We start from the raw sequence: 22,976 nt of genomic DNA, 5'->3' as shown, positions 1-22,976 counted from the left end.
GAAGCCTTCCTTGCCATCAAACTAGGTCAGCACTCTATTTATATGGTCTCATAGTCTTAGATTTCTTTTACACACTGTGTTATGGATTATTTGGTAAAGCCTCCTCTTTGGGGTTATAAACTCCAAAAGAAAAGAGGCATAGCATGCTATGCTCCTAGCAAGAGTTTCTGCCACACAATAAACATTTAATAGCTCTTTATAGAATGAATAAATGAGCCATATTGAATGTTGATTAAATTTCAACAAGCTTTCCAGAAATCAGCCTATAATGATTATCCCTTTCAGTGGACTTCTGACACTTGTAATTCATCTGACATATTTCCTTTCTTTTCTGCCATGGGCTTGGTAGTCTCAGTTAGCATATCATTGATTAAGGTCAGGGGCCTTTATGTTATTTTTGAATTCCCAGTGTCTAGCACAGTGCCATTGAAATAGTATGCAATCAACACATTTTTATTTTTCATGATAATGATTAAGAACTTAGTGCCATTATAGTTAATGTAGTAAAATTTTGTGAATTCAATAATGCCCCTAAGTAGTATACAACTTTGAAAGCACGCTCTTCTCAAGTAATTAAATGTTATAATTATCTAACACATTATTATTCTATATAAAATTTCAGAGATGTTAGTTCATTATTTTCAGCCCTTTATATTTTAAATTAATGATATAGTAATTTTTAAAAAACAAACCTTTGCTTTACTTTAGCTGAAGACACAAATGTCTTCAGATGGTGCTCAAAATGGTTTAAATTACACAGATGAGGTAAACATACAGTGAAATCTTAGAAAGGCCCCAAAGAATTCCCTACGAATGATACATGAGCCAAGGGCATGACATTCACCTTGGAGGATCTTTCTCCCTTTGAATAAGTTTGATAAAATGCCTTTTTTTTTCCACTTTGACCTTAAGCACTTAGAAATCATTTGTTTTACAAAAGCCCCGTGGTCCAAGATTATAGCAACCAGAATAGTGATGTCTGTCTTACATTTCAATTGTGCATGGTTCAAGACTTTAGTTTAAGAGAGTGATTTTACATAAAAGTTTTTAGATAGATTTCACTCCTGTGCCTTTGTTGGTCTCTTCTGTACTTCTACGAAGAACAGCTTTGTAGTTTCTACGCTGGCTTCAAGCACAATACTATAGCTCCACAACCTTGTCCAACTGTTAGAATCATCCAGTTTTATAGCAGCTGCACACAGGCGTTCACTCACCCGGGTTCTGAGTTTCAGCAATCTTCTTATCTTTGCCATTTTTATGAAATAAGTTTGTTGTATTTTAGCACCCAAGCCCCATAGTATCTTATACCTTACTTTCAGGAAGAGGCTGTCAAACATCTCCTGGTATTATGTTTATGATCTTTGCCACCAGGTTTTTAGGCTTGTTGGAGCATGATTTACACTGCAGACCTCCCTAAATTTAGTTAACTTTCATTCGTCATCACCATCCAGATATTTTAATTTGGTATATCCAGGAGGCATAATAGCCAATGCTTTGCCAGAGAGCTATAAATATTGGTATGAATTTTACATTTCCACTTGACAGTAGGAGTGTCTCAATTGATAGTGATCTTAGGACTTCTTGTCAGCATACCAAATATATCAACAGGCCTTGTCATGAATTTTCCAGACATTTGTAGAATCATGAAAGTTTTTTTCACATTGAAATAAGAAAGTATCACACACACAAAATATTATTTTTTATAAGATTGTTATGTAAAATATAAGATTGTGAATTTTGCATTGCATACAATATTTATTACATGGGAACTTTGTGCATTTATGAAATTATTTACTACTTATTTATAAATGTATAAAGAAATATTTAGCAACAATTGTGTTCTCAATTCTTTTGAAGTCTGTCGACTTATGTCTATTTTTCTAGAGGATTATTCCTTGTTTCTGTCTAGTCTGGCATTTTACTACATATGCACTCTTTTCATAGAACTAGTGATGTCCGTTTGTCAGCCTCAAATGCATACAAATTGCTATCTTAAACCAGATGAGTGTTTTTGCAAAACAAAGACATACAAAATAATGGTTCTTTTGTAGAAATTGATCGAAATATTTTAAAGCTTCCTTCAAGGGTGTGAAGTTTTGGTTAATTCTGGCCTAGAAAAATATTTTGCACATCAACCTAGGGCATGATCATACTTATTTTATATAACATCATGCCTACAGAATGTGTTTTCCAATGACCATCACTAATGGACATTATCTGGTATTTTAATTTTTTTCCAAGGCTTTTCTGTGTATAATGAAAGACAGGAGGCCCACTAAACACAACATTTAAAAATAAGTTAACTCTATATTAGTGAAAAAAAGATTATTAAAAAGATTAAGTGGTACATCAATTAAAAAACTTTTTAAAAAGTTTTTTTAAAAAGAATTAAATTCTGTCAAATTCAGCCTGAAATTTGAACACAGAAATAAGAACAGCAGGATTTTCATTGGAAGATGCATCATTGTGATGTTAGTGGCCAAACCAGATGCCAGGAAAGCAGTGCCTCTCTCAAATTCCCATATGTACACATGAGAGTTCAGCCTTCCTTCTTAATGTCATCCAGTTCCTAGAGAAGTTTTGCTAGTGTTCCTTCTGAATATACGGGGCAAGAGAGGAAGTCAAGGTCACTATCACCACCAAGTCCTGAAGCCAGGTAGTTGTCAGCCTTGAAATGATCCTCATTAAAAACTAGTGGCTTGAATGTCCTCTATGAAGCTGTTCTTTGTTTGTTTGTTTGTTTTTTAGACAGTCTCGCTCTGTCGCACAGGCTGGAGTGCAGTGGCGCGATCATGGCTCACTGCAAGCTCCGCCTCCCGGGTTCACGCCATTCTTCTCCCTCAGTCTCCCGAGTAGCTGGGACTACAGGCGCCTGCCACCACGCCCTGCTAATTTTTTGTATTTTTAGTAGAGACAGGGTTTCACCGTGTTGGCCAGGATGGTATCGATCTCCTAACCTCGTGATCCGCCCGCCTCGGCCTCCCAAAGTGCTGGGATTACAGGCGTGAGCCACTGCACCCGGCCTTGTTTTGTTTTTTGAGATGGAGTCTCACTCTGTCACCCAGGCTGGAATGCAGTGGCATGATCTCGGCTCACTGCAACTGCCACCTCCTGGGTTCAAGCAATTGTCCTGCCTCAGCCTTCCGAGTAGCTGGGATTACAGGCACCTGCCACCACTCCCAGCAAATTTTTGTATTTTCAGTAAAGACGGGGGTTTCACCATGTTGGGCAGGCTGGTCTCGAACTCCTGACCTCAAGTGATCCACCCGCCTTGGCCTCCCAAAGTGCTGAGATTACAGGTGTGAGCCACTGCGCCCAGCCTATGAAGCCTTTCTTGACTCTTCTGAATACACGTGGCCACTGTCTTCCTGCATTGCCATTGTACCCTGTGGAAGCCATTATTGGGACATCTATGAGACTTTTTTTCATGTATGTATATATTGGTCTGTTTCCTCTACTGCACCATAATGCCTGCATTCCCAGGAATTCTATGGCTTTTCTCTCTATCACTCCACACAATATCTAGCACTCAGTCAATGCTCAATATGTTTGTTGACAAAAACATTCTTCTGGACATGTTCATAGAATGAACACACAGCCTTCAGCAGCAGTACACTCAGCAAGTAACTGTGAAAAGGGAGCCATTGGAGTTACCAAATTAGAACCACTCATTTTGAGCAAAAAATCTCTGACTCAATTTGAGGCAGGGCTGCAAAAGTTGAACAGCAACATTAACCATTCACCCAGCACCTCAAGCCTTCACACTGTAATCACATCGATTAGCTGAACATTGGCACCAAAGAAAGGGTCAGTATATTTTTTGTTCAAGCTTTTGTCCATATACAGAAGCTGGTGCCCGATTATTTCAGTGTTTAGTGATTTTAATTTTCTGTGAAATTTGCCTACACAATTTGTGCTTCTCCCAGTTTATGTGCTCTGTACTGTCAAATATGATACAGTCAGAAAGCACATTCCTTTATCATTTTCCTCTTACAAAAAAGAAAACTGGAAAAATTATATTATTTGCCTTTAAGTGGAAAGACATTTCATTTTCCAGATGGATGCTGGTACTTCAGGAAATATTAGAGATATCTTGTTGAAATTTTTAGAAGTGATCCTGTTATCGTACCTTTTACACTCCTGGTCAAGCTGTCATCACTACCAAAGCATTTCCATAACTACCTACATATGCCCATTTCTTTGAGAAAGAAGAAACAGAGTGATGCTAACTTTCCTGAAGTTTCATACACGTTTGAATTTTTATATGTCAAGTCTCAGATTGTCAAAAATTGAAGCATGGAAGTTTGCTCCTGGAACACCAAACATATATAAAATTCCACCTGTGATGTCCTCAACTTTTTAACAGCTCTAACTACTTCACCAACCTCTAGGAACTTTTTTTCAACAGGATATAGTATTCACAGACAAGAAATGAAGGCGAGATTGTTTCTAGATAAATTTAGCTGGGGAATATGGAAAATATGATCTAATAAAGGAAACCTCCAGGTAAGTTCAAGATAGTGAATATATGGGAATTGGAAAACCGATTGCCCAGATTCTTCCTTTAAGTAGTGGTTGTGATAAAATACATTTTGATTTCTATTTCTAATGAAAATGTGAAACAGACATCTATTTTTCCATCCCAACTGGGCTTCCTCCAAATATGCTGCCTTCTCCCTAATGAGTTGGAATAGTGTGCACCATAAAATAGTACAACACATCCTGAAATGCTGACATTTCATTTTTAATTGAAATCAAATAGAAATAGTTCCACTGGGAAACAAGAAAGTAAAGCAGGCTTTTGATAGAAATTAATAGGAAAGGGACGGAAATACTATTCTCTGTCATAAAGTAGTCCACTATGGAAGGCTGCCAGTCCACTTGCCTGAATCTGAGTTTATCTCCAGGATTACATTCAGTGAAAAGAACACATCTTATGAAGGTGGAACGAGAAATCGTATTTGGATGGATATATCAAAGGAAAGAAATAAAAAATACTTCCTTTCTTCTATTTTTTAAAAATCATAGGAATGTAGAGGTCAAGGAAAACTGTTGAATTTTACTGCAAAAACAATGATAGCAAAACAAAAGACTTCATATCATCAACAAAAATATTTACAAAAATATATCAGAAAATACATTCTTTGGGAGGTAAAATAAACTTACATTGCTGGGACTAAAATTCTCTCATCGGTGGGACAACTTTCTTTTAAAAACAGTTTTATGGCAATACTTTTAACAGTGGTACTTTTAAGAGTTGTAGCTTGGCTGGGCACAGTGGCTCACGCTTGCAATCCCAGCACTTTGGGAGGCCAAGGCGGGTGGACCACAAGGTCAGGAAATCGAGACCATCCTGGCCAATATGGTGAAACCCCGTCTCTACTAAACATACAAAAATTAGCTGGGCATGGTGGTGTGCGCCTGTAGTCCCAGCTACTCAGGAGGCTGAGGCAGGAGGATCACTTGAACCCAGGAGGCAGAGGTTGCAGTGAGCCGAGATCAGGCCACTGCACTCCAGCCTGGGCGACAAAGCAAGTTCCCATCTCAAAAAAAAAAAAAAAAGTTGTAGCTTGAGCAGCAACAATAACATTAATAAAGATTAACATTTGTATAACTGTATATGGATTATGAAATATTTGTATAAGATTTTTAATAATTGATACTCCAAACTATTATGAAAATTCCTCAACTTTCAAAAAACAATTCTTTATTCTCTAAAATACCAGACTTTGAATATAGAAAGCCATGATTTTTATGAAAATATTTATCTCTATGGTCATAATTTCTAGAAACAATCTGTAGTACTTTGTACCAAAAAAAAGTCGGCTATTTTTATAGGAGTCATTCCAAGACATTATTGAGTGAGGACTGGTACTAGGATGAGGAAGGGTCAGGCATTTGACACTGAAGAGTTTGTGGCATGTTGCAGAGAGGTACTTAAAAAGATAAATGCCAAAATGGTACGATTAATACCTACTATACCTGACATAGGGACAAAGTGCTTTTTAGATGGCTATCTCAAGGAGTTGGGTAGTAAATGAAACGAAGGATGTAAGAACATAGCTAGAGGGAGAGCTGCCTGGAGAAAGGGTTGGTTTGTTTTCAGAATGTAGAAACTTGCACAGGTTGACAAGTGGAGTCAAAGAAGAGAAGGAAAGTTTGAGCTTCAGGAGAAAAAAGGGATAAGCGATGGATACATATGGCTATTCTTTTTTTTTTTTTTTTTAATCTGGGTCTTTCCACAACTTCTCCCTGGTGACTTTGACTGATTTCTTGGGCTAGCTCAGACATAAGAATTCATGTTTATTAAAACTGATCAAAATAATATGTGATATGTTTTAAGGACTGAAGCCCAGATGTTCCTACTCTTCCAGAACACTTGAACATGCACTGACTTCCTGAGGGCCACCAGGCATTTAGGGAGATGCCCAGTGAGAGGAAGGCAGCCTTGTGTCCCTTATAATGAGACCCTTCTCTGAAATTATTAAATAATCTACCTTGCAGTAAAAACTGCTGATTCTTCGTGGAGGTCTCTTCAAATACAATGATCTGTGAAAATTCTGCCTACAGAATTTTAAGAAAAACCAAGAGTACCAATTAACTAAAAAATTTATATAAAATTAATGATGAAAACAATGACCATTAACAAACACAAAAATAAAAACCCCTTTATTGCTCACTCTATCTAATACTAAAACTTCACAAAATTAATGTCTAAGTTACCTGATGAAAGCAATTTAATAAATCCTTTGGATAATTCTAATAAAAATAAGAAATGTATTATCTCATTCTCAAATTTGCCACAATTAAAGAGAAACTCTCTTTTGAATTGGGAGGTTTCTCTCTAAAGAATTTTCCTCTTCTAATAAAGGATATTGCAATATCCTCTGAATAGATGTTTAAAATCTCTCTCATAAGTTCTGGAAATCTCTCTCATTGAAATAGTCCCAGCTTGACAGCCCTGCAATAACCATTAAATATTAAAATAACATTAAAAAGCAACTGCTCAGCTCATGGATCTAGCTGCAAAACTCCAATTCACACTAATGGGACTCACATAGCTAAATCCCCATGTGCTGTACCGAAAATTTATGCCCAAGGATCCAAGGATCAGGCGTGTTAAAGAAAATGATGGATTCACTTTCAAAAAAAAATATCGATCCACTACCAAACAAATTATCATTATTCATGCAATTTCAGTCACATAATTATTCTAAAAACCAGACTGTCTAAGATTAAACAGCATCCAATTTTGCATTCACATAGTATTCATTTGTGATGTAATAAAATTCATACTTCCATTGCAAGATGATTTGAATGTTGTAAAAACATATATACAGTTTAAAAAATGTGTCTTATTTACAAACATATCCTAAAGCCAAAATCTAATTCTAGATACATTTTCTGTTTATTATTTCTGTAGACACTACGATCATAATGCTAAAGCTTTAAGAACTATTTTTGTTGTTCTTGAGGTATGTTAAATATAAAAGGGAAAAAGAAAGTATAAATAACTAATAGTGTTAATATTTAAAGTTGTGTGGTGATCTAAACTTCTCAAAGAATTTCTTTAAAGAAATTATAGAAATTTTGACATAGTGACCACACATTATTATAATCATCCATGGTAACTATCCAAGAAGTTACACACTATTAAAAAACAAAAGACAGTGTGTTTAATGGAAAGTATTTCAGACCAAAATTTAACTTACTCAAATTCCAAACTAAGACAAGTCACTTAAATTTCCAAATTCACAATTTTATTAGCTATAAAATGAGTGAGATGGACTTGGGAATCTCTTGTCTGCCACTCTATGGTTTTCTGTTGTAATAACTAATTTGGTTTACATTGTGTCTGGTTAGATTTTCCCATTTCCCCCACTCCCACCATCTCCACAACACACACACACACACACACACAGAGTGGAGAAAGAAGTTTTTAAATCTGATAGAGAACTCTCGTGCAAATGCATGTATAATATTCTGTGAAATTCCTATTTGTCAATCAAAGTATTTGCCGGAACTGAAAGAGGCCTAGAGAATGAGAAAGAGAGGTAACATTGTTGTGTGGAAAGAGCATCTGGATGGAAAATCTGGAGACCCAGTTTCATCAGCAACCAACTTTATGACTTTGGGCGGATCACTTGCTTTCTCTAAATTGCAATTTCATTCAAAGCAGGAATTAGATAAGATAGTCACTAAGTGCATGTCCAACTCTGAAAATGGATGCCTACAATTAGAATATCACTATTATGATAAACTAAACAAAGCAGTTACTTTTTTTTTTTTTTTTTTTTTTAAGATTGAGTCTCGCTCTGTTGCCAGGCTGAAGTGCAGTGATGTGATCTCGGCTCACTGCAACCTCTGCCTCGGGTTCAAGCGACTCTCCTGCGTCAGCCTCCCGAGTAGCTGGGACCACGGGCATACACCACCACGCCCAGCTAATTTTTTGTATTTTAGTAGAGACGGGGTTTCACCCTGTTGGGCAGGATGGTCTCGATCTCCTGACCTCGTGATCTGCCCACCTTGGCCTCCCAAAGTGCTGGGATTACAGGCATGGTCCACCACTCCCGGCCACAGTTACTCTTAAGTCTACATAAAAGAAAAGAAGAGGGTGTGTGTGTGAGTGCGTGTGTGTGTGTGTGTGTGTGTAATCTTGAAGGATGAGGGCTAAGGATAAAGTGAATGTAGACCATTTTGGACATTAAATAATAGTGTGTATATATATATTATATATACAGTGTATATATATTATATATAGTGTATATATAATATATAGTGTATATAATATATATAGTGTATATATAATATATAGTGTATATATAATATATAATATATAGTGTATATATAATATATATAGTGTATATATAGTATATAGTGTATATATAATATATAGTGTATATATAATATATAATGTATATATTATATATAGTGTATATATAATATAATACATACATTGTATATAGTGTATATATATTATATAATATAATATATAATATAACATATAATATATAATATATATTATATTATATATTATATGTTATAATTATAATTATAAATACAATTGTATAATTATAAATATAATTATATATTATATAATATATATTATATAATATAATATATAATGTATATTATATAATGTATATTATATAATGTATATTATATAATATATATATTATATATAATATTATATAATGTACATAATATATAATATAATATATATATTATATAATATTATATAATGTACATAATATATAATATAATATATATATTATATAATATTATATAATATATATATAATGTACATTATATAATATATATTATATTTTTATATATATTATATATTATATATATTATATATATATTTTTATATATTATATATAATATATATATCAGGCAGTACCCCATATACCAGGCAGTACCCCATAAGTTTAAAGAAAGTATCTTTTTTATTACTTAAAAAGAAAAAGATATGTTAAATATTTTCTAATCTTTTTGAGCATTTACTGTGCATTAGGCCTGAATCTAATAGCACTGCAGATACTATTTCATTTATTCCTCACTATGAACCCTATGAGGAGTTGCTATAATTATCCCCATTTTCTAGATGAAAAAATGAAGGCCTAGAGACCTGTGTCCCACAGCTAGTGTAACTATATGAAGAAATGTAAGATAGAGTCTGGGTTATGTTCCATAAAGAGTCGTAACCTTTTAGAATCAACATTATAGATAACTAAGCTCTGATTTCTTTATTTTTATAAGGATTTCTGGTATTACTACCAGATCACAATAGCTGATTGTGCATACTATTGGCCCACTCTATCAACAATAATATTTTTCTTTCAGCCACTACAAAAGTGGTATTATAATTTTCTAAGGAAAATCACATTGTCTGGTACATAAATGTTTGTTGCAAGAAGGAAAGAAACCCTGTTCCCAACCAAGATGAAGAGTATGGACTGGATTTATCCAGCCACCTGCAAGAACCAAAAAAAAAAAAAAGAACTGGACAAAATATATGAGATAATAATTTCACTTTGCTGGGCAATGGACGACAAAGAATACTGATCATTAAAAGATAAGAAACAAGCAAGGGGAGTCCTATGATTGCCCAGCCTAATAGCTTAAGGCAGTTTCAGATCTGCAGTGCAGGAAGATAAAACCTAAGCAGAACTCAGTAGGCTCTCTGAGTTGAGACAGAGTTGAAAGTGGGGAAGACCAAAGCCACCTGAGTTCGTAGAACAGAGAATCAGACCAAAAGGTATTTAGCAAAGTACTGAGGAACACATGTAATGAAACAACCTATGGTCCAGGAATGAACCATTTGAAAGGATTAGAAGGAACATTACTCAGTACTCTCACAAGACCAGGAATAGTGTCTATAACCACCAGCCAGTCTAAAGAAACCTCATAATTTAGAGGACGATGGGCAGAGTATTCATAAGGGTCTTGCATTGTTAGTCGGAAATATTAGCTCTCAATTAAGCACAGATTTGGTCCCACTTAACAAATTTTAAAAGTTAGGTCCTTGTATTAGAACATTTCACACTGCTATAAAGAACTGCCCAAGACTGGGTGACTTATAAAGGAAAGAAGTTTAATTGACTCATAGTTCAGCATGGCTGGGGAGGCCTCAGGAACCCTACAATCATGGTGGAAGGTGAAGGGGAAGCAAAGCACCTTCTTCACAAGGTGGCAGGAAGAAGAATGAATGCAGGAAGAACTACCAAACATTTATAAAATGATTAGATCTCATGAGAACTCACTCACTGTCACGAGAACAGCATGGAGGAAACCACCCCCACAGTTCAATTGCTTTCACCTGGTCTCTCCCTTGGCACGTGGGGATTATGGGGATTACAATTCAAGGTGAGATTTGGGTGGGGACACAAAGCCTAACCATATGAATCCTCCAGGATCAAACAGTTTCCAAATGATGTAACCACACTCCAGGGAAGGAAAAAAGCTTAAGAAGGTCTATAGGTATACAAAAACATCCAGCACCCAGCTAAGTAAAATTCAAGATGCCTGAAATGGAAACAAACATGACTGGGTATGTCAAAAAGGAAGAAAATATAACAAGTAATTAGGAATGAAAAAAATTAAGTAATTGAAACTGATTCAGAAGTGACATAGATGATAGAATTATAATACAAGGACATTAAGGCACTTTTTAAAACTATATCCCATTTCTTCTAAAAGTTAGGCAAAGACATAGAAGGGATATGTATATATTTTCAAAGAACCAAATCAAACTTTTAGAGCTGAAAACAACAATGTCTGAAATTAATGGTAGATTAGACATTGTAAAAGAAAAGATTTATGAACTTGAATATACTGAAATAGAAACTATCCAAAATAGAGCATACAAAGACAGAATAAAAGCCACAAATTACCAGTATCAGGAATAAGAGAATGACAGCACTACGTATTCCATAAATATTAAAAGGAAAATAAGCTAATATGATTAGCAATTTTGTGCCAATAATTTTGGCAAGTTAGAGGAAATGGGTTAGGATTTCTCAAAAGTTACAAATGACCAATGCTTCCTAAGAAGAAATAGATAAGATGATCTGAACACCCCTGTATATATTAAAGAAAGAGCATTTGTACTTTAAAACCTCCTTAATCTCACCACCAAAACAAACAAACAAACAAACAAACATAAAACAACCCAAAACAAAACCCAAAACCACAGGACCACAAATCCAGATAGCTTTGCTAGTGAATTCTACTAAACATTTAAATGATATAGGAAGGAATAACCTTAATCTCATTCTATGAATCCAGCACTGCTCTGATACCAAAACCAGACAAAGACATTACAAGAAAAAAAAAGAACAAACTAAGCCCAAAATTAGCAGAAGGAAGAAAACCTTAAAGATTAGACCAGAAATAAACAAAATAAAGAATAGAGGTCAGGCAAGGCAACTCACACCTGTAAACCCAGCACTTTAGGAAGTTGAGGCAGGAGGATAGCCTGAGCCCAGGAGTCTGAGACCAGCTTGGGCAACATGGCAAGACTCTGTCTCTACAAAAAAAAAAAAAAATTAATTAGCCAGCCATGGTGTCATGTGCCTGTGGTCCCAGTTAGTTATGACGCTGAGGTGGGAAGATCACTTCAGCCTAGGAGGTCAAGGCTGCAATGAGCTGTGCTCATGCCACTGCACTTTATCCTGGGTCATAGAGGGAGAACCTGTCTCAAAAAAACAAACAAAAAAAAAAGAGAAAAGAAAAATTGTAGAAAAATACCAATGAAATTGAGTTGATGTTTTAAAAAGATAAAATTGACAAACCCTTAGATAGACTAACAAAAAAGAGAGAAAACTCAAATAAAGTCAGAAATTAAAGAGGAAACATTACAACTGATACAAAGAGATAAGAAAAATCATAAAAGACAATTATGAACAAGTATATATCAACAAATTGGATAATCTTTAAGAAATGGATAGATTCTTAGAAATGTAAAGATCACACACTAAGACCAAATGAGATTTATCCCTGGGATGCAAGGATGGCTCAACATATGTAAATCAATTAATGTGATAGATCACACTAAGAATGATGAATTTTAAAATCACATCATCATTTCAATAGATGAAGAAGAAGTATTTGATGAAATTCAAAACTTTTGTAATATAATGAACGCTATAATTATACTCTCAAAAAGCTAAGTATAGAAGGAATTTGCCACAACATAATAAAGGCCACATATGACAAGCCCATAGCTAACATTGTACTCAATGGCGAATAACTGAAAACTTTTCCTCTAAGATTAGGACTAAGAAAGGATGCCCACTCTTACCAGTTCTATTCAACACGGTACTGGAAGTTCTAGACAAAGCAATTATACAAGAGCAGGAAATAAAAGGCATCCAAGCTGGAAAGGAAGAAGTAAAATTTTTTCTGGTTTCAGATGATATGATCTTACATGTAGAAAACTCTAAAGACTACACACACACACACACACACACACACACACACACACACAGTTAGAATTAATGAATTCACTAAAGTTTCAGGATACAAAAGCAGCATTAAAGAGCCGGTTGTGTTTCTATACAGTAACAAACTACCAAAAAAAGAAAACTAAGAAAACAATCCAATTTATAATAGCATCAAAAAGAATAAAATAGAAATAAACATAACCAAGGAAGTGACAGACTTGTATACTGAAAACTACACAATGTTGATGAGAGAAATTGAAGATGACACAAATAAATGAAAAGCTATCCCATATTCATGGATTGGAAGACAATATTGCTTAAATGTTCATAGTACTCAAAGTGACCTACAGATTCAAAGGAACCCCTATAAAAATTCCAATGGCATTTTCTTTACAGAAATGGAAAAAAAAATCCTAGAATTCTTATGTAACCACAAAAGATCTCAAATAGCCAAAGAAATCTTGAGAAAGAACAAAGTTGGAGGCATCACACTTTCTGATTTCAAAATATATTACAAAGCAACAGTAATTAAAACAGTATGGTACTGGTATAAAAAAGATCTATAGACCAATAGAACAGAGAACCTGGAAATAAAGGTATGCATATACAGTCAACTGATCTTTAACAAGGGTGCCAACAAAACACAGTGGGGAAAGGTCAATCTCTTCAACAAATGATGTCGAGAAAACTGCATATACCCACACAAAAGAATGACATTGGACCATTACCTTACACAGGAAAATTTGAGATTTAAATGTAATTTTTCAGCCCCTAAAATTTTACAAATTCATAAACTGTAAAATGCCTAGAAGAAAACATTGGGGAAAAACTTCACAATATTGGTCTTGGCAATGATTTATTAGATATGACAGCAAAACACAAGCAGCAAAAGCAAAAATGGACAAGTAGAACTACATAAAACTAAAAAGTTTCTGCACAGCTAAGAAAACAACAAAATGAAAAAGCAACCTACCAAATGGTATAAAATGTCTGCAAACCATATATCTGATAGAAGGTTAATATAAAAAGTATATAGGGAACTCCTGCAACACAATAGCAAGAAAAAGTACTTTTAATGGGCAAAAGACTGGATGGACATTTCTCAAAAAGAGACATATAAATGGACAACAGGTATATGAAAGATGCTCAACATGACTAGTCATCAAGAGAATGCAAATGAGATATCACCTCACACCTGTTAGGATGGCAATTATTAAAAAAAGAAAAGATAAATGTTGGTGAGGATGTGAAGAAATTGGAACCCTTGTGCACTGTTGGTGGGATGGTAAAATGGTGCAGCTGCTATGGAAAACAGTATACAGACTCCTTAAAGAATTAAAAATAGAAACACCATATGATCCAGTAATCCCACTTCTGGTATATATCCAAAAGAACTGAAATCAGGATCTCAAATTGATATTCAATCTCCTGTTTATTGCAGCATTATTCACATAGCCAACACATCCAAACAATCTTAATCTCTATCAATGGATGAACAGATAAAGAGAATGTGGCATATACACCATGGAATATTACTCAACCTTAAAAAAATCCTGTCATGTGTGACCACATGGATGAACCTGGAGGACATTATGCTAGTGAAATAAGCCAGTCACAGAAGGACAAATACTTCATAACTCAACTTATATAAAGTATGTAAAATGGTTACATTCATAGAAGCAGAGAGTAGAATGATGGTTGCCAGCGGCTGGGAAGGAAAGTAATGGGGAACTGATGCTCAATGGGTGCAAAGATTCAGTTATGCAAGATGAACAAGTTCTAGAGATCTGTTGTACAGCATTGAGTTTATAGTTCACAATACTCTATGTGCACTGAAAAACTTCTTTAATTAGAGGGTAGGTTTTATGTGAAGTTTTCTTAACACAATAAAAAAACAAAACTAAAGACCAATATGCTTCATGAACACAGATATAAAAGTTCTAAACAAAATTTTAGCATATCAAATTCAACATTACATAAAATGGACAATATATCATGATCCAGTGGAATTAATTCCAGGAATTCAAGGCTGGTTTTAACAATTGAAAATCAGTCAGTATAATTCACCATATTAAAACCAAAATTTTAAAGAAAATTCATTTGATGTTGACAATTCCAACATCTATTCCTAACTAAACTCCCCAGCAAACTAAAAATAGAAGAAGACTTCCACAATCTGATAAAGGTTATTGATGGAAGTCTACAACTAACATCACACTTAATAGTGAAAGACTGAGTGCTTTCCCTCTAAAATCAGGAAGGAGGTAAAGATGGTCTTGCTATTTTTATTCAACATTGCATTTAAGGTTATAGCCAATGTAATAAGGCAAGGAAAGGAATAAAAGGCATCAAGATTGGAAATGAAGGAGTAGAATTGTTTTGTTCTAAAGACATGATCACCTATGTAGCAAATCTGGTGGAATCTTAAAAAAAAAAGCAAGTTTGAGTTTAGCCAGGTTCAGGATACAAGATAACTTATGCAAAAATTGGTTACATTTCTATATACTAAGAACAATTAGAAATTTAAATTTAATAAAGTGTACATGTATAGATACATCTAACAAAAATGTGCAAGTGTTGTACACTGAAAACTAGAAATCATTGCTGAGAAAAATTAGAGATCTAATTAAATGAAGAGATATAGCCTGTTCATTCATCAAAGACCTGTTAACATGTCAATTCTCCCCAAATTAATCTATAGATTCAACATGGTCCCAATGAAAATCTTAGAAGGCTATGTAGAAATTGACAAAATATTTCTAATTTATTATCAAGTCACTGAGGTATTTACCACAATGCAGACAAAGAACAGAGTTGGGGGTCCAAAAATAGATGCACACATAAAGAAAACTCACTTTTTTCCACCAATGATGGATATCCTTAAGCAAAATCATAATAATAAAAATAATAACTTTGATTCATACTTTGGAACATATATAAAAATTAACTCAGAATGGGTCACAGACTTAAGTGGAAAAGCTAAATTGACAGAATATCTAGGAGAAAATCTGTGTGACCTTTGATTAGGCAAAGATTTATTGGATACCATACCAAAAGCATGATCCAAAACAGAATAAATTAGTACAATGGACTTCATCAAAATTAAAATCTGCTGTTCAAAGAACATGGTTAAGAGAATAAAAAGATAAGTCACAGACTGCTAGAAAATACTTCCAGATTATATGTATTATAAAAGAACTGTGTCCAGAATATATACAGTACTTTTAAAACTCAAAAAAAATTTTAAGAACCCAATTTTAAAAGAGAAAATGATTTGAACAGACCTTTATACTGATGCCAAATAATCATATGAAAAGATCCAACAATATTAGTCAATGAGGAAATGCAAATTAAAACCACAGTGAAACACTACTACACACCTATTACAATTGTTAAAATTAAAATGATCATCCATATCTTATGCTTTAGGGATGTGGAGGAATTAGAACTCTTACACACTACACACTACTTATACTGCCAGTGGGAATTTAAAATGGTACAACCACTTTGGAAAACAGTGAGACAATTTCCTAAGACACACACCTAACCATATATAGCACTCATTCTACTCCTAGATATGTAACTAAGTGAAAAGAAGGCACATGTTCATACAAAGACTCGTGTACAAATGTTCACAGCAGCTTTATTCGTAATAGTCCCACACTGGGTCTAGTGGCTTATGCTTGTAGTCCCCGCACATTGGAAGGCTAAGGCGGGAGGCTCACTTGAGAATAGGAGTTCAAGACCAGTCTGAGCAATACAGTGAGACCCTCGTCTCTACAAAAAAATTAAAAATTAGCTGGATGCAGTGGTATGTGATTGGGAGGCTAAGACCAGAGGATTACTTGAGCCCAGGCCGCAGTGAGCTATGATCATGACACTGCTGTCCAGCCTGAGTGACAGCCTGAATAAGTAAATAAATAATAGCCTAAAACTGGAAACAACCCAAATGACCATTAACAGGTAAATGGATAAACAAATTGTGGCATACATGCAGTGAAATATGCTATGGTTTGACGCTGTATCCCGACCCAAATCTCATGTCAAATTTTAATTCCCAATGTTGTAGGAGAGATTTGGTGGGAGGCGTTTGGATCATGGGGCAGATTTCTCACCTTGCTGTTCGTGTGATAGTTCTTGTGAGATCTAGCTGTTCAGAAGTGTGTAACACTTCCCCCTTTGCTCTTGCTCTCCTGCTGACCATGTGAAGAAGGTACTTGCTTCCCCTTTGCTTTCTGCCATAACTGTAAGTTTCTTGACGCCTCCCAGCCATGTGGAACTGAGTCAATTAAACCTCTTTTCTTTATAAATTACCCAGTCTCATTTAGCTCTTTATAGCAGTGTGAGAACAGACTAATACAGAAAATACTACCCAGCAATAAAAAGGAATGGACTATGGACACCTGAAACAACATGGATGAATCATAAAATAATTATTCTGAGTTTAAAAAGCCAGACCAAAAGAATAAAACAAAAAATATACACTGTATGATTCCATATGTATAAAATTCCAAAAAAAATCCCAACTATTCATGGTGGCAGAAAGCAGACTATTGGTTGCCTGGGGATTGAGATGGGAGGCAAGGAAAGTGGAAGGCAGGATTGGGAAGGAGGGATAACATAGGGGCATGAGGAAGCTTTTGGGGTGACATGTGCATTTTCTTATTCATGGGCATATATATATATATCAAAGCATATTAAATTGTACACTTAAATATGTGCAGTTTATTGAATGTCAAATATATTTGACACTTATACACCTCAACAGAGCTACTTTTTAAGAATATGAAATAAGGTAGGAGGGGCATGAGCAATGAGATATTACTTAATTGGTACAAAGTACACTATTGGGGTGATGGTGACATTGAAACCTAGACTTCAGTACTAAACAATATATATATATTTTTTGAGACAGAGTCTTGCTCTGTTGCCCAGGCTGGAGTGCAGTGGCATGATCTCGGCTCACTGCAACCTCTGCCTCCTGAATTCAAGCGATTCTCGTGCCTCGGCCTCCCTAGTAGCTGGGATTACAGGCACGCACCACCACGCCCAAGTAATTTTTGTATTTTCAGTAGAGATGGGATTTCACCATGTTGGCCAGTCTGGTCTTGAACTCCTCACCTCAGGTGATCCGCCGGCCTCAGCCTCCCATAGCGCTGGGATTACCGGGCCTGGCTAACTATATATTCTTGTATCGAAACTGCACCTGTACCTCCTAAATGTATACAATTTAAAAAAATAAAACAGCCAAATTGTCACAAAATAAATTATTAATAGTGTGGAGTGTTTCACTTTCCCATGTTTTTTTTTCATTACAACAATACAGTGAGCTACATATCATGATTATTTTTATCATATTATTGTTTTACATTATTATTGTTCCCATGTAATCTATGATAAAACTGAGGCTCAACATATTACTTTGCTCAATGTCAGATAAGCTTTGGCAACAAACACGATATGGAATTCCTTAAAAGCAAATAAAATAAAAGATAGACCTCACTTCATTACGTTGGTCCTCAAGCATTTCCATTCCTGCTTTCTCACTCTCCCCCCTCATATCCCGAAGCAACTCTCACTCAATTCAAGAGTGCCCATCATTCCCAATTCCCAATCCCCCTAGAAATGTGAGGTAACACCTCAGTCTGCCCTGTCCAATGCAGTAGGCTCTAGCCATCTGTGCTACTGAGCAGTAGAAATGTGGCTCATCCAAATTGAGAAGTGGTATTATAAGATACAGCCCAGTTTCTGAAGATGTAAATAGCTCATTAATAATTTGTACATTGGCCGGGTGCAGTGGCTTGCACCTGTAATCCCAGCACTTTGGGAGGCCAAGGCGGGTGGATTACCTGAGGTCAGGAGTTTGAGACCAGCCTGGCCAACATGCTGAAATCCCATCTCTACTAAAAATACAAAAAAATGAGCTGGGCATGGTGACGAGTGCCTGTATTCCCAGCTACTTGGGAGGCTGAGGCAAGAGAATCGCTTGAATTCGAGAGGCAGAGGTTGCAGTGACCCAAGATTGTGCCACTGCACTCCAGCCTGGGTAACAGAGCAACACTCCGTCTCAAAAAATAAATAAATAAATAAAAATATTTTTACATTGATTTTATGTTGAAATTATAATATTTCGCATATACTATGTTCAATAAAATATATTATCAAATTAATTTTACTTGCTTATTTTTACTTTTTCAATGTAATTCCTAGAAGATTTCAAATTATACACGTGTCTTGTATTATCTTTCTGTCAGAAAGCACTGATTTAAATCCTACTGGGGAAAGCAATGTTATGCTTTTTGTTATGACAACTTCGGAAAATCATTAACTTGTGTTATAATCATGGTGCTATATAGCTTTGGTTTTGTAAAAGGGTGGAAGGCTCTAGGTAGGGTGTCATGGATAGAATCTTGTGGTGATAGTTGAAGAAAAATTGGCCTTGGCAGGGTAGCAGATGGTGATTAGGAAGAAAAAGGAGCCGATCATGAACTCATAGTAGAGTGGTAGAAAAACTTTGATCCCAACTCTGAGATCAGTTTTGTAAGTCAAACCAGTTCTTGTGCCTTAGGGTACAAGCATATTTTGAGGTACAATGCTAGTGTTGTGATCTGTCACACTCCTGCAGCTGTTTGTGGCAGTCATGTAAGATGGAGCCAGCCCAGAGTAGTCTGGGCCCAATCAGCTGCTTATCTTGCAACTATTACCAAAGCAAGATTTGGAGCAGCAGCCGCAGCTTTTGACTCTGTGGATTAAAATCTCAATCTCCCCAAAGCCTTGCCTCATGCCAAACTCCTGTGCACCATAATGCTCTCTCTTCTGCTCTTATTTCTCAGTCAGCTAGTGTTGTGCCACACTGTTTGAAATTGGTAAGTGTCAATGAATCTTGGAAGCTTTTCTTGGGCCCACTGTCTAACTCTTCACCATAAGAAAAGAAGGGGCATCAGTACCTACTGTACTGGCAAAATTGCTGCGTTTCAGTACATGGTAGGTAGTGTTCCATTTTCATCAATTATATTAAATCCAGCTCATGTAAAATGCTGTTGAAATTGCAAAGCAAAACAAATGTCACAAAAGGCAGAGCCAAGTTTTGCGGTTAAATTGTACTCTCCCAGACTCTTCCCTCTGCAATGTCTTGGGCTGCCATGTGAACCACTTCCCTGGGTGTAATCTTTCCATCTTGATGGATATCTTCCTGTTGTAGCTGTTAAGTAGTTAATATATAACATCCCTTTTTATCATCTTCTGAATTTGGAATCAATGGAAAAACAGATCCAGGAGTCAGACAGATGGTGAGAGAATGTGGCTTTTGATTAGTGGCCCAGAAATCTCCCTAATACTTCACTCATCAATGAAACACTCACCAAGTCACCAACAGAGCTGGACAGCAAAGGTCTACTCCAAACTGAGTGCAGGAACAAAAGGATCAGAGCCTCCATGTCCTGTGGCATCCTCCAAAGACAAAGGAGTCCAACAAGGCACTGAAAATGCTCAGAAATGCCAACCAAACTCAAACCAAATTAACCCGCAGGAGTAAGGCATAGGGAAAAGGTCGGTTACCCTGGCAGAAGTCCCTCTGCATGAAAACATTAGGCCAGGGAAATGGATATTCCTCCTGACCTCTGCACCTATATAAATGCATTCATCTGCATGTTTATGATGGGTTTTTACAAACACGTTTGTCAGGGTTTGGCATGTAGACCTATAAAATCTACTTTTCTGGATCCAAGTTCTATTCATTCACTCATTCCAAAAATATTTGGCCAGTGCCTGTTACAGGCTAGGCACAGGTCTAGGTGCTACTAGGTGAAGAAACAGACAAAAACCCTGCCTTCATGGAGATTATATTTTTGGCAGAGAAGACTAAAAAAAAAAATAAGCAAATAAGTAAAACATATGGTACTACAGATGGTGAAAAGTGCTATTGAGAAAAAGAAAACAAACAGGGGGTGAGTGTGGAAGTTGTGATATCAAACAAAGTAACTAGGGAAGCCTCTCTGGGAAGGTAACATTAGAAGAAAGGCCCAACAGAGGTAGGAAAAGGAGCCCTGCAGATATTTAGGGAAAAAGTGCACCAAGCAGAGCGAACAGCAAGTGCAAAGGCCCTGAGGAAGGATGCTTGTTATGCTAGGGAAAATGCAGAGTCTAAAGTGGCTGGAACAGAATGAGTGAGCCAAGTTCACATATCATCTGTGTCTTCAGGGTTATGACATGTTCATGTCATGATACTCCTGCCTTTTTTGTTTGTGTTTTAAAATTCAGACTCAGCAATTTTACTGCAACTCTGGTGCTCACAGCTATCACGTTCCTCTGTACACACAAGCCATAAGCACACCCGTTTCAGTAGTTCTGAGGCTGCCTCACCTTTGCTCAGAGCCTGAAAACTGCTGGTGGGAACAGCATCTCTCTTCATTACATTTCTCTGAATTCATCAGGCACCCAGCAAATGCCATTCAGAAAGCAAATTCTGAATATGTGTGTGGTGAAGGACACTCCTAGACTATTGCCTCAAGGATTTTCATGAAAAACCTGCCCCCCGTATGAGTCTTCCCAGCAGCAGTGGCTTCATTGAGAATATATGGCTGACCACTGGCATATTTAGTTCATACTTAGCACAGCCTTCTCCGACCATCTTACCTTGGGCTGCTGTAACAAATGTCTACAGAACAGTTGGCTTAAACGACAAACATCTTTTTCTCACAGTTCTGTGGGCTGGGAAGTCCAAGAGTAAGGTATGGACAGATCTGATGTCTGGTAAGAGCCCAGCCCACTTCCTGGTTTGCAGGTGGCTGTCTTCTCATTGTATCTTCATATAGCAGAGAACAGAGAGAAAGAGCCTGTGTCTCTTCCTCTTTATATAAGGGCATTAATTCCATTCCTGAGTGCTCTACCTTCCTGACCTCGTTACCTCCTCACCTCCAAATGCCATCACATTGGGGATTAGCCTTCAACACATGAATTTTGAGGTGATACAAGCATTTAGTCCAAAGTACCCACCTTTTTCCAATTTAGCTACTGGCATTTGTATACATTAATGTCCATACCTCCTACCGCCCACTCCACCCCACCATTTATTCATTGGTTTCACAACTATTTATTGAGGGTGTATTATAGGCTCTCAATGAATAAAATAGACTCCTGCCCTTGGGAGCTTATATTCAAAAGGATAATACCTTCTTTGAAGGCGGGACGCTGTCTTAGTCACCATTATTCCCACGGCCCATAGCACAGTGCTTTCTTTGCCTAACATGCTCTATAAAAATATGCAAATCTTGAGACAAGTCACAAAGCAGAATTTTGTGGAACCAAAAATAAATGTGCTCATCTCTTTTATTCTTTAAATGGCTCATACAGACTAATTGGAATGGAGATGCGTATTTAACTCAATGCCTTCCTCTAAAACATACTCAAGGTCCATTTATTTCCAAGATGGCATTTTGACCTGTGACAACTAAAGCCCCATATTGCAAAAAAAAAAAAAAAAAAAAATACTGTGGCAAGATGCTAGATCGGTCTAATTTTCTCCCTGCATTATAAATCTTTAAAGCTATTGGGAGTGGGAGTTTAAGATGGTTGACCATTTAACGTGACTGTTTAATAAATTGCATTGCTAGTAAGCCATAGTACTTAACCCCTCAAAATATCAGTATATTAAAATCTTCTATAATGTTATCAAGGAGAAGAAAATAAATTTTGAGAATTTTCCTAAAGTGCTTGAATTAATATTATCTTTTTGTGGTCTAGGAAATTCTGCTAACAGCCCTGCTGCTTTTCCATTAAGGTTACAGTGAGACGAAGCATGTGGCACGCAGCTTCCATTTGTAGATCAACAGTGAAGGAGACAGATTTGTAGTTTTTATCAGCATTAGCAGGGCAAAGCACATTTGTTCACAGGTGTTAGGAGTCACCACTTGAATGAAAAGCTGGGCAGGGAAATTGTATTTGTCTAGTGAAAATGTAACTGAAGCATAAACACAGCCCACACCTTTGAGTGTGGCATTCTACAGTCTGCACTGCTGTTAACTCACATTG

At 36.2% G+C, this 22,976-nt stretch overlaps 1 protein-coding gene across 1 annotated transcript in view, besides 1 other annotated feature; it reads left to right on the top strand.

The window, feature by feature from the left end:
- The window catches only part of TCF4 (transcription factor 4), a 413,773-nt gene that overhangs the window by 5,155 nt on the left and 385,642 nt on the right, over positions 1–22,976 (top strand). The gene's annotated exons all lie outside the window — the stretch shown is intronic.
- Positions 2,458–2,957: an enhancer, noted in NCBI's record as "H3K4me1 hESC enhancer chr18:53295077-53295576 (GRCh37/hg19 assembly coordinates)". NCBI's record gives its function as "activates a minimal SCP1, AML or CMV promoter by ChIP-STARR-seq in primed H9 embryonic stem cells {active_cell/tissue: H9 hESC(primed)}" and the evidence as "EXISTENCE:reporter gene assay evidence [ECO:0000049][PMID:30033119]".

Source organism: Homo sapiens, chromosome 18 (assembly GCF_000001405.40).
Source record: "Homo sapiens chromosome 18, GRCh38.p14 Primary Assembly".
Lineage (NCBI taxonomy): Eukaryota > Metazoa > Chordata > Mammalia > Primates > Hominidae > Homo > Homo sapiens.
Note: the sequence above shows the minus strand (reverse complement) of the source record. Positions and strands in the feature narration are given on the sequence as shown.